Raw genomic sequence first — 12871 nt, 5'->3', positions numbered from 1 at the left:
CCATTTTGGGCAATACAAATAGAAAGAACATTTGCATCACTGCAGAAACCTCCAGTGGACAACACTGTTCTAGACTGATAAGAAGGGATGTAAATGAAGACACTTATTTGAAGAACTGTTTTGTCAGCTAAAATGACTAGCCCAGAAAAGTGCAGAGAATAATATACCACCACTCTTAAACCCAGCCCCAGTCAAAAAAAAAAAAAAAAATCATGGAGTCTAGGTCCTATTAAATGTATTTCTCTTATAGTAAGGTAAAAACAGCCCCATCAAAACTCCCTTCATTTTAACCCTATCTCAGACCACTGGCCCAGGTTCTAATCTGCTTATTAATCACTTATTATTTGTGTAGAGCTAGGCTATTAGACACTGTGTCCTGCTGCAGGTCCTCAACGGAACCGTGCACAGGCTGAAACTGCACTTGGAAAGCAGCCTGCGAAACCTAATGGTGGGATTCAGTACCTTGGGTCCATTCCTTGCATTACAATCTCATCCTGCTTGCACTCCATCATGTCATTTGTAAACATAGCATGGAAATACGGGATCGAGGCTGCTAAGACAATCCGGTGGGCACTGAATTTGTGGTCCCCAATCTGTGGGCAAAGTAAAATACAAAGACAGATATTGAGGAATGCAAAACAAAAACAAACAAACAAAAAAACCCACCCTGCCCCTCCGCCCGGCTCCACAGCATACCCCACTGCCCACTGCAAAGGCGGTGAAGGCATCCCAGGGCATGGAGGCCAAGGCTTAGCATGATGACCCTGAAGTATTTTAAATGCAATATACTCAGTTACAGTAGAAGAATGTAAACAATACATTTTAATGAAGCGTTAAAACAGCTAAAAAATTTAAGCCTGAATGGTTTCATGTAATCGTTTTTACTTATATGGTAGTCTCCAATGCACCCCTTTCAGCTACTCCACCAACTCAAATACCTGATTCCTGTAACACTTTATCCCAACCTCAGGCAGATGGACTAGACAAATGGTCCAAGAATGCTGGTGCTCCTAACAGTATGCTCCTCAAGAAGAGTAAATATGTAGTGACTGGGCCGGAGGCAGGGGCATGAGGAGATACACTGGTGTTGTGGACTGGCTGCTGCTCTGTATGGCTAGCAGGGACAGAGGCCAACTCTTCCTCCAATGAGTGTCAAATCCTCACTGACACACCCTTAGCCTGAGGAATTCTATAAAGTGTTTTCCAACTATCTGCCAAAAGGCTCTTCCCTTCAATAAGCCATTTATAGCTCCAAGCTATATAAACATTTCCACTTAAGAACTTTCTATTCTCCAGGAAGAGCAAAACAGTCCTTTTTTCCTTTTTATCAGGTTCCACATTAGTGAAAAGCCAGGGAATCTCACTATCTGATGGTCATCTCTTTGTGTCATATTTATCCAAGGATTGAGGTTGGAAGATCGAATCATTGGATTAAACAGGCGTGAGCCACCGCACCCAGCCTCTGCTCAAATTTCTTAGAGTTGTTCTATGAGGTTTATTACAAAAGAAAAAACAACAACTAGCAGTCTCTGTTTTCTTGATTCCTTGCCCGCGATTCCTACTCCCAGGGGCAACCTCTTGCTTCTAGGACTTTTCTCCATCTTTCTAAATAATATGTGCTTACATATTACTTGTTGACTTTTCACTTTGAGTTATTCCCTGTGGTACCCAACCTCTAAATAGCTCCCAGTAAATGCTCACTCTTGGTATTTACACCCTTGTGCAGTCCCCTCCCACAACATGTCAGGGTTGGTCTATGTGACCAACAGAATATAGCAGAAGTGACGATGGTATGTCACATTCAAAGCTAGGTCATAAAAGGCACTGAAATTCCTCTTACCCTCTTCTTCTGGATCACTTGCTCTAAGAGAAGCTAAATAACATATCCTTAAGAGAGGCCCATATGAAGAAGACTGAAGACTTCTACAGCTACCTGAGTGAGCTTGGAAGAGCATCCTCCAGCTCCAGCCAAGCCTTCAGATGACAGCAACTTTGTGAGAAATGTCTAAGCTGCTTCTGAACTCCTGGCCAGCAGAAACTGTGAGATAATAAATACTTGTTTTAAGTCACTAAATTTTGGGCCGGACGCAGGGTGGCTCATGCCTGTAATCCCAGCACTTTGGGAGGCCAAGGAAGGTGGATTGCTTGAGGGTGGATCAGGAGTTTGAGAGCAGCCTGGGCAACATGATGAAACCCTGTCTCTACAATAAATACAAAAATTAGTGGGCGCATGCCTGTAATCCCAGCTACTTGGGTCACTGGGGCAGGAGAGTCGCTTGAACCTGGGAGGCAGAGGCTGCAGTGAGCCAAGATCGTGCCACTGCACTCCTGCCTGGGATGGAGTCTCAAAAACAAAAAAGTCACAAATTTTGGGGTAGTTTGTTATGCGGCAAAAGATAACTATTATATTACTAATCTAATTCCTATTATGGAAGATTAAGAATTTGTCCTGATACCTTTCTTCATGTACTATCCCCTACACTCTCCCTATCTTTCCAATATAATTAGGTCAAATTTTGGTTAAATTAATATGAAGAGTTGCATTAAGTCTATGTAAATATTATTTGTAGCCAAGCCATGCTGTATACTGTCAGTATATATTTCCTTTTTGTATAATTTTTCTTTTCCCTAGAGCATAAAACTCTGGTTAATATATTCAGTCAGGTACTCTATCAGTTGTTTGTTTTAAGTTGTCTGTTTCTTGAGACATTATCTACTGGAACTCTTCCTGGGAATTCTGTTTCCCTCACCTATACTAACACCCCCGTTTCCTGAACCCCACGTAGTCCTCTTTCTTATTTATTCACTTGTTCTGGTAGAAAGTGTCTTTTAGGCTGGGCATGGTGGCTCACACCTGTAATCTCAGCACTTTGGGAGCCTGAGGCGGGTGGATCACCTGAGGTCAGGGGTTCGAGACCAGCCTGGCCAACATGGTGAAACCCCGTCTCTACTAAAAATGCAAAAAATTAGCCCAGCGTGGTGGCAGACACCTGTAATTCCAGCTACCCGAGGTGCTGAGGCAGAAGAATCACTTGAACCTGGGAGGCGGAGGTTGCGGTGAGCAGACACCGTACCACTGCACTCAGCCTGGGCAAGAAGAACGAGATTCCATCTCAAACAAATAAAAATGTGTCTTCTAGTAGAGCCTCATAAGAAGGGGTCTATGTACAATGTCTGAAAATGTCTTTACTACCCTCAAGCTTAGATAATAATTTAGTTGGTTAAAAAATTCAAAGTTTAGACTTTTTTCCTGTCAAAATTTTGAAAGTATTGCTCCATTGTCTTCTAGTTCTTTTGTTTTTAGAGATGGGGTCTTACTCTGTCCCCCAGGCTGGACTTGAATTCCTGAGCTCAAGCAATCCTCCTGCCTCAGTCTCCTGAGTAGTTGAGACTATAGGCATGCTAGTGTGCACCTGGCTATGTTTAAAAATATATATATGTATATATATACACACATATATATGTATATATGTATATATACACACACATATACATATATACGTATATATGTATATATACACACACATATACATATATACGTATATATGTATATATACACACACATATACATATATACGTATATATGTATATATACACACACATATACATATATACGTATATATGTATATATACACACATATACATATATACGTATATATGTATATATATACACACATATACATATATATGTATATATGTATATATGTATATATATACATATATATGTATATATGTATATATATACATATATATGTATATATGTATATATATACATATATATATATTTGTACAGACAGGTCCTGCTTTGTTGCTCAGGCTGTTCTCAAACTCCTGGCTTCAAGCAATCCTCCCACCTCAGCCTCTCAAAGAGCTGGGATTACAGGCGTGAGTCACCACACCTGGCCTAGTTTGTTGTTATTGAGAAATCCAATGCTATTTTGAATCCTAACTCTAAGTATGTAACTGTGCTCTCTAGAAGCCTTTAGGATTTTCTCTGTATTCTTGTAGTTCTAAAATTTCACAGTATTGTATCTTGGTATTGGTTTTCTTTTATTGTGCTGTATCAATCTACAGACATTATTTCAGTTCTGGAAAAATCTCTTTACACCATTTAATCCTTGATAATTTCCTCCCTCCTATTGTAATTTTTTCTCCTCAGAAATTTCTATTAGTCAGGTGTTAGATTTCTTGGAATAATCCTCTAATTTTCTTATTGTTCTTCCTCACTTTCCATCTCTTTCATTTGGTCTATCAGTGAGGAAACTTCTTCAACCCTATCTTACAATCTTTCTGTGTTGTAGGTTTTTATACTGGCTATCATATTTTTAATTTCCTAGAGTTCTTGTTTTCAAAAGCTTCCTTTTTAAAAGAATCCTGTTCATCTTTCATGAATGCAATATTTTCTCAAATCTCTCCTGAGACAGTATATAGTTACAACTTTTTTTCTTCTTTATCTCTCTGCTTTTACTGTTTCCTGAGATATTTTCTCTTCCAATTGTTTTGATCTCTGTCTTCTATGTTAGAGGTTTTCTTTAAATGTCTGGTGACACTTGGCTAGGGGGTAGGCTTGTTGATTTGTGGGCTTCACATTAGGGTGATCAGGCAAGAATCGGCCATTTGATTGAGGACCCCTAGAAGTATTCAGTATCTTCAGGACTTTTTCTCTGGAGTTAATTTTATCAGAGCACGATCTTCCAGTCTCTTGCAGGGAAATATCTGTCGGCCTACAGATATTCTGGAAACTGGGTCTAAGAGGTGGATGGTTCTACCATGCACTACTGATAACTCTTATCTTAAAGCCCTTCTTTTCAGTTTTGTTCCATATTGCACCCTTTCTCCTATGCTTGGTGTGCCTGATTCGGAGCCTCTGGTTCAGTATCTAAGACTAAACTTCCTATCTCCTGAGAGAGTGGGGGAGGGGGTGCAGGCATCTAATTGCCTTTCATACAGACTTCCAAGTAATCTTCCTGTTTTCAGTATTTGGTGTCTCCAATTCTGGAACAATTCCAGGGTTCTACACTAGAAATCCTCTTCCTTCTCAGTTTCTCCCCCGGGAGGCACTTTCAGTTCCTCTGGCCCACTAAGTCTTCCACACATGCTCTCTGGCTTTAATATTCCATTGATTTCTCATTTGCTGATATGTCTTTCCCCTCTTACTACTATTTTAATGGGGTTATGGAGGGGAATGAAAGTTAAGTATGTGTTCAACTGGCTGTGTTTAACTGCTGTGCATTTATTTTTCATCTAGAAAATAAACAGAAGACAAAAGAACAAGCTGTATGTGCACCAACAGAGTGACCTGGTTTCAAAAAAAAACCAGCTACAGAGAAGATAGGCCTATCTTGGGATATGTTAGCCTGATTACATTTGAGTTCTGTATTCAGCTAAGGGGAACAACAAATTGGACCTTGTCTAGATGAGGAAGACCAAGATGGGCAAGAGTCTGAAAGCTACATCTTATAAGGAATAGCTAAAGGATAGTCTGGAAAAGGTAATTTAGGAGGAACCTGATAGTTGTTGTCAAATCCTAGAAGGGCTATCACATGGATTAGGGCAGATCTAGAAAATTACAGGAAGGCAGATTTTCTTTTATCATAAAGAATAAGAGCTAAGTGCAGGGCGCGGTGGCTCATGCCTGTAATCCGAGCTCTCAGGGAGGCAGAGGTGGGAGGATAGCTTGAGCCCAGGAGTTCGAGACCTGCATGGGCAATATAGCGAGACTCCGTTCTTCACAAAAAGGAAGAAAAAAAAAAAGACAAAAAACAAATAAGCGTAAGAATAAGAGCTAAGAACACTTAGCGGGGTCCTGGACTGGTTTCAAAACTATTAAGTGACTACTTAGAGGCCTTCCAATTCTACAATCCTGTGATACTACATTTTTGTGAAAAGCTTTTAAAAACCCAAACACTCTCATTTGTAATCTCAGTTTTTACATGTCTCATTTTTTGCTGGGCACAGTGGTTTATGCCTTTAATCCTAGCTCTTTGGGATGCTAAGGTGGGAAGGTTTCTTGAGGCAGGGATTTTTAAGACCAGCCTGGGCAACACAGCAAGACCTCATCTCTACAAAAAACTAGCCAGGCATGGTGGTGCATGCTTGGGAAGATGGTTTGAGTCCAGGAGTTCAAGGTTGCAGTGAGCTATAATTGTCACTGCACTCCAGCCTGGGCAACAGAGCAAGAGAATGTCTCGAAAAATAAAATAAAATAAAATGTCATTTTTTAAAAAAAGAGATGATCATTTATTGAGCTCCTTTTGTATGCCACTGACTATGCCAGGTACCCATTCTGCACATTTTCTCATTTCAGTCCTCACAGCAACCCTCTGCAGTAGGCAGCTACTGTGAATCATGTTCTATAGATGAGAAAACCAAGATTTGGAAGTTAAGTAGCTCACCCAATGTCAGGTAGCTATTATGTGAAGAGAAGGAATTATGCTTAGGTTGTTACTGGTGGAATTGGAGAGGGACCTAATAAATAGCATACCTTCTCTCAGCTTGAGTTCTCAGTCAATTGAGAAAAAAATTATAAATAAAAAACCTACACATGATAAAACTACATAGAATTAAATATACATATACACAGAATGAATAAAAGTAAAACTGAAGAAATCTGAATAAGATTGCAACTGAATATTCTAGTTGCAATATTGTACTTTCAGTTCCTCTGGCTTAATAGTTTTGCAAGATATTACCACTGGGAGAAACTGGGCAAAAGGAAAAAGTTGTGGGCATGGTGGTTCATGCCTGTAATCCTAGCACTTTGGGAGGCTGAGGTAGGAGGACTGCCTGGGTCCAGAAGTTTCAGACCAGTCTGGGCAATATGGCAAGACCATGTGTTTACAAAAAATAAAATAAAATGAATTAGCTGGGTGCAGTGGTATGCGTCTGTAGTCCCAGCTACTTAGGCAGCTGACACAGGAGGATTGCTTGAGCCTGAGAGTTGGGGGTTACAGGAAGTTATAATCACACCACTGCATTCCAGCCTGGGCAGCAAAGTGAGACCCTTTCTCTATTAAAAAAAAAAAAAAAAAAAATTAGGCCGGGCACGGTGGCTCACGCCTGTAATCCCAGCACTTTGGGAGGCCGAGACGGGCGGATCACAAGGTCGGAAGATCGAGACCATCCTGGCTAACACAGTGAAACGCTGTCTCTACTAAAAATACAAAAAATTAGCTGGGCATGGTGGCAGGCGCCTGTAGTCCCAGCTACTCAGGAGGCTGAGGCAGGAGAATGGCGTGAACCTGGGAGGCGGAGCCTACAGTGAGCCGAGATTGCGCCACTGCACTCCAGCCTGGGCGACAGAGCGAGACTCCATCTCAAAAAAAAAAAAAAAAAAAAAATTAAAAGGTATGTGTGATTTCACTGAATTATCTTACCACTGCATGTGATTCTACAATTATCTCAAAATAAAACATCCATTTAAAAAAAGGACTAAACTAAGCATGGTGGCACATGCCTTGGATCTCAGCTACTAGGAGTTTGAGGCCAGCGTGGGCAACATAATGAAACCTAGCCTCTCAGGGGGCGGAGGGAGCACAAAGCGAATGGGAGATAAAAATATTATTTTCTTACCAATAAATGTAACATAAACTATAGCTTATATAAGAGGGTAAGTGGGTTCCCTATAATTAATATCTAGAATTACACAGGCCCATGCAAAGGCCACTTTCTCCACTGATCTGCAATTACCTCAAATCTCCCCTCTTCCCCACTCCTAAGGTGGCAAAGACATGTGAACTGGTGCCACACAATTTTTTCAAAAAAATTCATCTGTAAGAAACACATAACTGGTTGGTTAGAAAACTTAAGGCTATTTAGCATACATCTCTACCTTTAGTCACATTTTGCTACATACCCACCTCTAAAAATATACTTCTTATAAAATATTATCAATGAAATGGAATCAGACAGTAGATTTAAAGTATTAGAGTTAGGTTCAAAGTCCAAGATAGGACAGAAAAAAAGAAATGAATCTATGGTATACACAAAACACTCTACACTAAAATAGCTATACCCATGAATACACATGGAAGCTGCTGAGGCTAGATCAGGACATGAGATCTCCTTGTGTATTCAACAAACAGTGCCCCTGCCCATACTACCACTGTGGAATTATTTGCAATGAATAGCATCTACGAAGCAAATTTGGGGCAATCATGGGACTTCCTAGATATGTACAACACCTCCGAATTTGCTTCTAAGAAAAAAAGATCAATTCAAATGAGAAAGACTAAACCACTTCCACTAAAACTAGCAAAGACTCAGCATTCATGCCCCTTGGCTTCTACAAAGAGTGGATACAGAATTCTTCCTGAGCAGGGCTCTGCATAATACACTCTGAAGACTGAAAATGCAGTACTCCTGCTTGCCTCTATATTATTTTTTATTATTATGGCCCTGAAACTTTAACACCTGTCAACAGCTTTGTTTGGTAAATTAAAAGAAGTGATGGAGTTACACAAGGGGGAAGAAGATTAGGTCTACCAGTCAACAGATAACTTATATGTTCATATGTTGTAACTCTACTATACTTGTTTTGTTTGTTTGTTTGTTTTGAGACAGAGTCTTGCTCTGTCACCAGGCTGGAGTGCAGTGGCGCAATCTCGGCTCACTGCAATCTCCGCCTCTCGGGTTCAAGTGATTCTCCTGCCTCAGTCTCCTGAGTAGCTGGGACTACAGGCACCTGCCACCATGCTCGGCTAATTTTTTGTATTTTTAGTAGAGACGGGGTTTCACTATGTTAGCCAGAATGGTCTTGATCTCCTGACCTCATGAACCGCCCACCTTGGCCTCCCAAAGTGCTGGGATTACAGGTGTGAGCCACCACGCCTGGCCTATACTTGGTTTTTAAAATCATGAACATACTATTCCTTTGGTAAATGTTTGAGATCAGTGGCTTCCATGATTCAAGAACAGCTATGAAAAGCAAAGTGATGTGATGTGAGGCTGACTAAATAGATGGGACACTCAAGAATTCTACATGTTACTTTAAAAGTATCAAGAGGCCAGAAGATCGAGGTCATCCTGGCTAACATGGTAAAACCCCGTCTCTACTAAAAATACAAAAAATTAGCCGGGCGAAGCGGTGGGCGCCTGTAGTCCCAGCTACTCAGGAGGCTGAGGCAGGAGAATGGCATGAACCCAGGAGGCAGAGCTTGCAGTGAGCCAAGATCGCGCCACTGCATTCCAGCCTGGGCGACAGAGCGAGACTCCAGATCAAAAAAAAAAAAAAGTATCAGGAAACCAGGGAACAGGACTAAGGAAGAAATTCGAAGCTGACCAGGCCACTCTGTGGAGATAGAGTATGAACTGGAGGGACAGGAGTGGCAGCTAGGAGTCCAGCCATGAGACCACTGCCTGGTCCAGAGAGAGAAGAGCTGAGCTCGGCCTGGATGGTGGCAGTGGGAAAGGAGAAAAGAAGTCAGACTCAGGAAAGATGCTGACCTTAGAACTGCTGTGACCTGGTGACTGAGTAGATGTGGGAGTGAGGGAAAAGAGGTGTCAAGATGACTTCCAGGTTACTGGTGCGATCTGGCATGTGGAGGTGCCATATACTTAGATCAGAAACGACAGAGAAGGACAAAGTCAGGAGTAAATGACCAAATAAAGTTTTGGACAAGCTGACACCGAGTGCCTGGGAGGCATCTAAACAGAGACTATGTAGAAAGTGGATGACAGAGTCTGGTATACAGAGATAAGTCTGGGCTCAAATAACACTTTTGGAAATAATCAGTGAAGACAGAAAAAAGATCATTCAGGGAGAGAACTCGAAGTGTGAAGAAAAGAGGCTATAAGACAGCCTTGAAGAACTTCAACATCTAAAGATCACCTAGTAGAGGATCTATCAGCAAAGAAGACACAGAAGGGAGGTACACAGAAAGGAAATGAGAAGAGAAGCAGGAAGATGTCTGGAGGTAGAAAAGAGTGTAGGTCCACCAGACAGGCAATGTGGCATAGAGACTGGATGGAATCAGAAGGCCCTCACCAGCTCTGCTACCTCAGACAGGGCTGCTCAACACAAATTCTGTTCCCTACCACAGGCAGGTGGGGCTCAGCATTCAAACAGTAAAGCAGCCTGGCAAAATCTGAGTTAGGAGTAATCTGAGACAGGTGTTCCCAAAGAAAGTAAAAGATATACCCAGAGTAGATTTCTCTTTGATGGAAAACATTTTGATACTACTGTTCCTACCTTCAGGAGCTCACAATGAATATACATAAGGCATTAAGAACAGTTAACCTCCCCCTCCCCCTCCCCCTCCCTCTCCCCACGGTCTCCCTCTGATGCCGAGCCGAAGCTGGACTGTACTCCGCCATCTCTGCTCACTGCAACCTCCCTGCCTGATTCTCCTGCCTCAGCCTGCCCAGTGCAGGCGCGCGCTGCCACGCCTGACTGGTTTTCGTTATTTTTTTGGTGGAGACGGGGTTTCGCTGTGTTGGCCGGGCTGGTCTCCAGCTCCTAACCGCGAGTGATCCGCCAGCCTCGGCCTCCCGAGGTGCCGGGATTGCAGATGGAGTCTCGTTCACTCAGTGCTCAATGTTGCCCAGGCTGGAGTGCAGTGGCGTGATCTCGGCTAGCTACAACCTCCACCTCCCAGCCGCCTGCCTTGGCCTCCCAAAGTGCCGAGATTGCAGCCTCTGCCCGGCCGCCAACCCGTCTGGGAAGTGAGGAGCGTCTCTGCCTGGCTGCCCATCATCTGGGACGTGAGGAGCCCCTCTGCCCGGCTGCCCAGTCTGGGAAGTGAGGAGCATCTCTCGTCTGAGCTGTGGGGAGCGCCTCTGCCCTGCCGCCCCGTCTGGGATGTGAGGAGCGCCTCTGCCCGGCCGCGACCCCATCTGGAAGGTGAGGAGCATCTCTGCCCGGCCGCCCCGTCTGAGAAGTGAGGAGCCCCTCCGCCCGGCAGCTGCCCCTTCTGGGAAGTGAGGAGCCCCTCTGCCCGGCCGCCGCCCCGTCTGGGAGGTGTACCCAACAGCTCATTGAGAACGGGCCATGATGACGATGGCGGTTTTGTCGAATAGAAAAGGGGGAAATGTGGGGAAAAGATAGAGAAATCAGATTGTTGCTGTGTCTGTGTAGAAAGAAGTAGACATAGGAGACTCCATTTTGTTCTGTACTAAGAAAAATTCTTCTGCCTCGGGATGCTGTTGATCTATGAGCTTACCCCCAACCCGGTGCTCTCTGAAATATGTGCTGTGTCCACTCAGGGTTAAATGGATTAAGGGTGGTGCAAGATGTGCTTTGTTAAACAGATGCTTGAAGGCAGCATGCTCCTTAAGAGTCATCACCACTCCCTAATCTCAAGTACCCAGGGATACAAACACTGCGGAAGGCCCCAGGGTCCTCTGCCTAGAAAAACCAGAGACCTTTGTTCACTTGTTTGTCTGCTGACCTTCCCTCCACTGTTGTCCTGTGACCCTGCCAAATCCCCCTCTGCGAGAAACACCCAAGAATGATCAATTAAAAAAAAAAAAAAGATGGCAACAATAGACACTGAGGACGATGAGAGGAGGGAGGGAGGGAAGGAAGGAGGGAGATAAGGGTTGAAAAATGACATATTGGCCGGGCACAGTGGCTTACGCCTATAATCCCAGCACTTTGCGAGGCCAAGGCGGGCGGATCACCTGAGGTCAGGAGTTCAAGACCAGCCTGGCCAACATGGTGAAACCCCGTCTCTACTAAAAATACAAAAATTAGCCAGGTGTGGTGGCATGCACCTGTAGTCCCAGCTACTTGGGAGGCTGAGGCAGGACAATCACTTGAACCTGGGAGGTGGAGATTGCAGTGAGCCAAGATCGTGCCATTGCACTCCAGCCTGGGGGACAGAACAAGACTCTGTCTCAAAAGAAAAGAAAAGAAAAACTACATATTGACGACATATTGGGTTCTCTGTACACTATTTGGGTGACAGGTTCAATGGAAACCCAAACCTCAGCATCACACAATATGCCTATGTAACAAACTTGCACGTGTACCCCCTAAAAATCTAAAATTTTTAAAAAAATAAATGCCTGCACCCAGGAAAAAAAAAAAAGAACAGTTAAGTGCCCAGACTGCATGGAAAGAATGCCCTTGGGATCAGTGGGGTTAAGACTAAGCTTTAACACAGTCACAAAGGATGCTGAAAGTGCATGATAAGTAGTAATCCATACTTTTATTGATGCACATATTTGAATCATAAAGGCCATGAAGCTGGTGGGTAAGAATAAGTCTATAAAATGGAGAAGCAGTAGGGATAAATTAATCCCCCCCAAAAATTTAAAAGAATAAGGTAGGCAGAACTGCCCTATCAGATGTCAACACCTATAAAGCAATAGAAATTAGGAAATTGTGGTACTGAAACAAACCGACCAAATGAACAGAATAAGCAGTCAGAAATACATCCCATATATATGTAAACTTGATAAATGACAGAAATGGCATTGCAGATAATATGGAAAAGAGAGTCCACTTAAAAAATGGTGTTGGGACAACTAGTTATCCACATGGAAAAAAAATCAAATTGAATTTCTGCTTCACATCACACTCCAAAATCAATTCCAGATAGAAAAAAGCCTTAATGGCCAGGTGCAGTGGCTCACGCCTACAATCCCAACACTTTGGGAGGCCGAGGTGGGAGGACTGCCTGAGCCCAGGAGTTTGGGATTGGCATGGGCAACATGGCAAGACCTTGTCTCTATTTTTTTTATAAAATACAAAAAAAAAAAAAGAAGAAAAATCTTAAGCATTAAAGGCAAAACTTCAAAATTTTGGAAGAAAATATTGTAGGTCTTTTTGACCTTGAGATTAGGATTTCTTAAACAATAATTCAAAAAGCATTAACCTTAAGAGAGAAGACTTCAATATCTGACTACAGTAAAATTAAGAACTTCTGTC

The 12871-nt window shown here is 42.8% G+C and overlaps 1 protein-coding gene across 8 annotated transcripts in view; it reads right to left on the bottom strand.

The window, feature by feature from the left end:
* KLHL18 (kelch like family member 18) overlaps positions 1-12871 on the bottom strand; it is a 63873-nt gene that overhangs the window by 26571 nt on the left and 24431 nt on the right. For 7 of the 8 annotated variants that reach the window (XM_005265001.4, XM_005265002.6, XM_005265003.4 and 4 more), the window contains exon 2: positions 463-593. The exons of the other annotated variant lie outside the window; for it this stretch is intronic. In XM_005265001.4, coding sequence (XP_005265058.2) covers positions 463-593 — 131 coding nt within the window. The remainder of the gene's footprint in view (positions 1-462; positions 594-12871) is intronic. 8 annotated transcript variants of the gene reach the window in all.

The sequence above is a fragment of the Homo sapiens genome, chromosome 3, assembly GCF_000001405.40.
Source record: "Homo sapiens chromosome 3, GRCh38.p14 Primary Assembly".
In the NCBI taxonomy this organism is placed as follows: domain Eukaryota; kingdom Metazoa; phylum Chordata; class Mammalia; order Primates; family Hominidae; genus Homo; species Homo sapiens.
The sequence above is the reverse complement of the archived record's forward strand: the minus strand, read 5'-3'. Positions and strand labels throughout refer to the sequence as shown.